Below are 1,741 nucleotides of genomic sequence, written 5' to 3' on the forward strand. Positions count from 1 at the left end.
TCTCCATTTTACTATCCTTCTCTTTGGAGGGATTAGATAGCTAAACACAGTTTTTCAGAGCACAGACTCTGAAAGTCAAGAATTGGCCTTGCCACTTAATAGTATGACTGGTCAGCTTATACTTACATGGTAGCCTTTCCAGAATACTCTGAGAAACACTATAAAGTGATAGGGATGAAGAAACTGAGCTTATTGAAAATGGAAGAACCAAATAGTAGACTGGTAGCTCCTAACCAGGGAAACAAAGCAGTCCACAGTTCCTGAGAGATTGTGGCCCCAGGCTAAGAAGGTTAACTTACAGTTTCTCAAGTATAAAATAAGGATGAAACTAATAGTATCCAAGTGCTCGGCACAGTGCCCAGCACACAGTAAGAGCCCAAAAGATGTTAGCTATTTTTTTCCTTAGGTCCTTAAGAGGCTCTGGCAGCTGAGAAAGAATGAAAAAGGGCAGGAGCGAAAAGAAAGAAGGCCAAGGGGAATAAGGTGGCTCCAGCCCCTGCTGTCGTGATGAAGCAGGAGGTTAAGAAAGTGGTGAATCCCCTGCTTGAGAAAAGGCCTAAGAATTTTGGCATTGGACAGGACATCCAGCCCAAAAGAGACCTCACTTGCTTCAAGAAATGGTCCCACTATATCAGGTTGCAGTGGCAGAGAGTCATCCTCTGTAAGTGGCTGAAAGTGCATCCTGAAATTAACCAGTTCACCCAGGCCCTGCACCACCAAACAGCTACTCAGTTGCTTCAGCTGGCCCACAACTACAGACCAAACAAGAGAAAGACAAAGCAAGAGAAGAAGCAGAGGCTGTTGGTCCGGGCTGAGAAGAAAGCTTGCAGCAAAGGGGACATCTCCACTAGGAGACCACTTGTCCTTCAAGCAGGAGTTAACACCGTCACCACCTTGGTGGAGAACAAGAAGGCTCAGCTGGTGGTGACTGTACATGATGTGGATCCCATCAAGCTTGTCTTCCTACCTGCCTTGTGTCATAAAATGGGGGTCTCTTCCCCTGCATTATCAAGAGGAAGGCAAGACTGGGACATATAGTCCACAGGAAGACCTGGATCACTGTCACCTTCACACAGGTGAACTTGGAAGACAAAGAAGCTTTGGCTAAGCTAGTGGAAGCTATCAGGACCAACTACAACAACAGATACGATGAGATCTGCCGTCACTGGGGAGGCAATGTCCTGGGTCCCAAATCTGTGGCTCGCATTGCCAAGCTTGAAAAGGCAAAGGCTAAAGAACTTGCCACCAAACTGGGTTAAATGCACACTGTTGAGATTTCTGTACATAAAAATAATTAAAATAATACAAATTTTAAGAAAAAGAAAAAGGGCAGGAGACCACCCATTGCAGTGGGCTATGCACTGGCTGAAGAATCCTTTTTTTTTTTTTTTTTTTTGAGACGGAGTCTTGCTCTGTCACCCAGGCTGGAGTGCAGTGGCATGATCCCAGCTCACTGCAAACTCTACCCCCCGGGTTCAAGTGATTCTTCTGCCTCAGCTGGGATTACAGTGATTCTTCTGCCTCAGCTGGGATTACAGGCACCTGCCACCATGCCCGGCTAATTTTTATATTTTTAGTAGTGACGGAGTTTCACCATGTTGGTCAGGCTGGTCTCGAACTCCTGGCCTCAAGTGATCTGCCCACTTCAGCCTCCCAAAAGAATCCTTCATCTTTAGTTTGCAGTGAGAAAGAAAGAACCACATAAGACTCTGCAATGGAGATACTGGAGTACAAGATTAGC

At 45.9% G+C, this 1,741-nt stretch overlaps 1 pseudogene; it reads left to right on the forward strand.

Moving 5' to 3' along the window:
* RPL7AP38 (ribosomal protein L7a pseudogene 38) lies at positions 455 to 1,313 on the forward strand (annotated as a pseudogene).

This window comes from Homo sapiens, chromosome 7 (genome assembly GCF_000001405.40).
Source record: "Homo sapiens chromosome 7, GRCh38.p14 Primary Assembly".
Classification (NCBI taxonomy): Eukaryota; Metazoa; Chordata; class Mammalia; order Primates; family Hominidae; genus Homo; species Homo sapiens.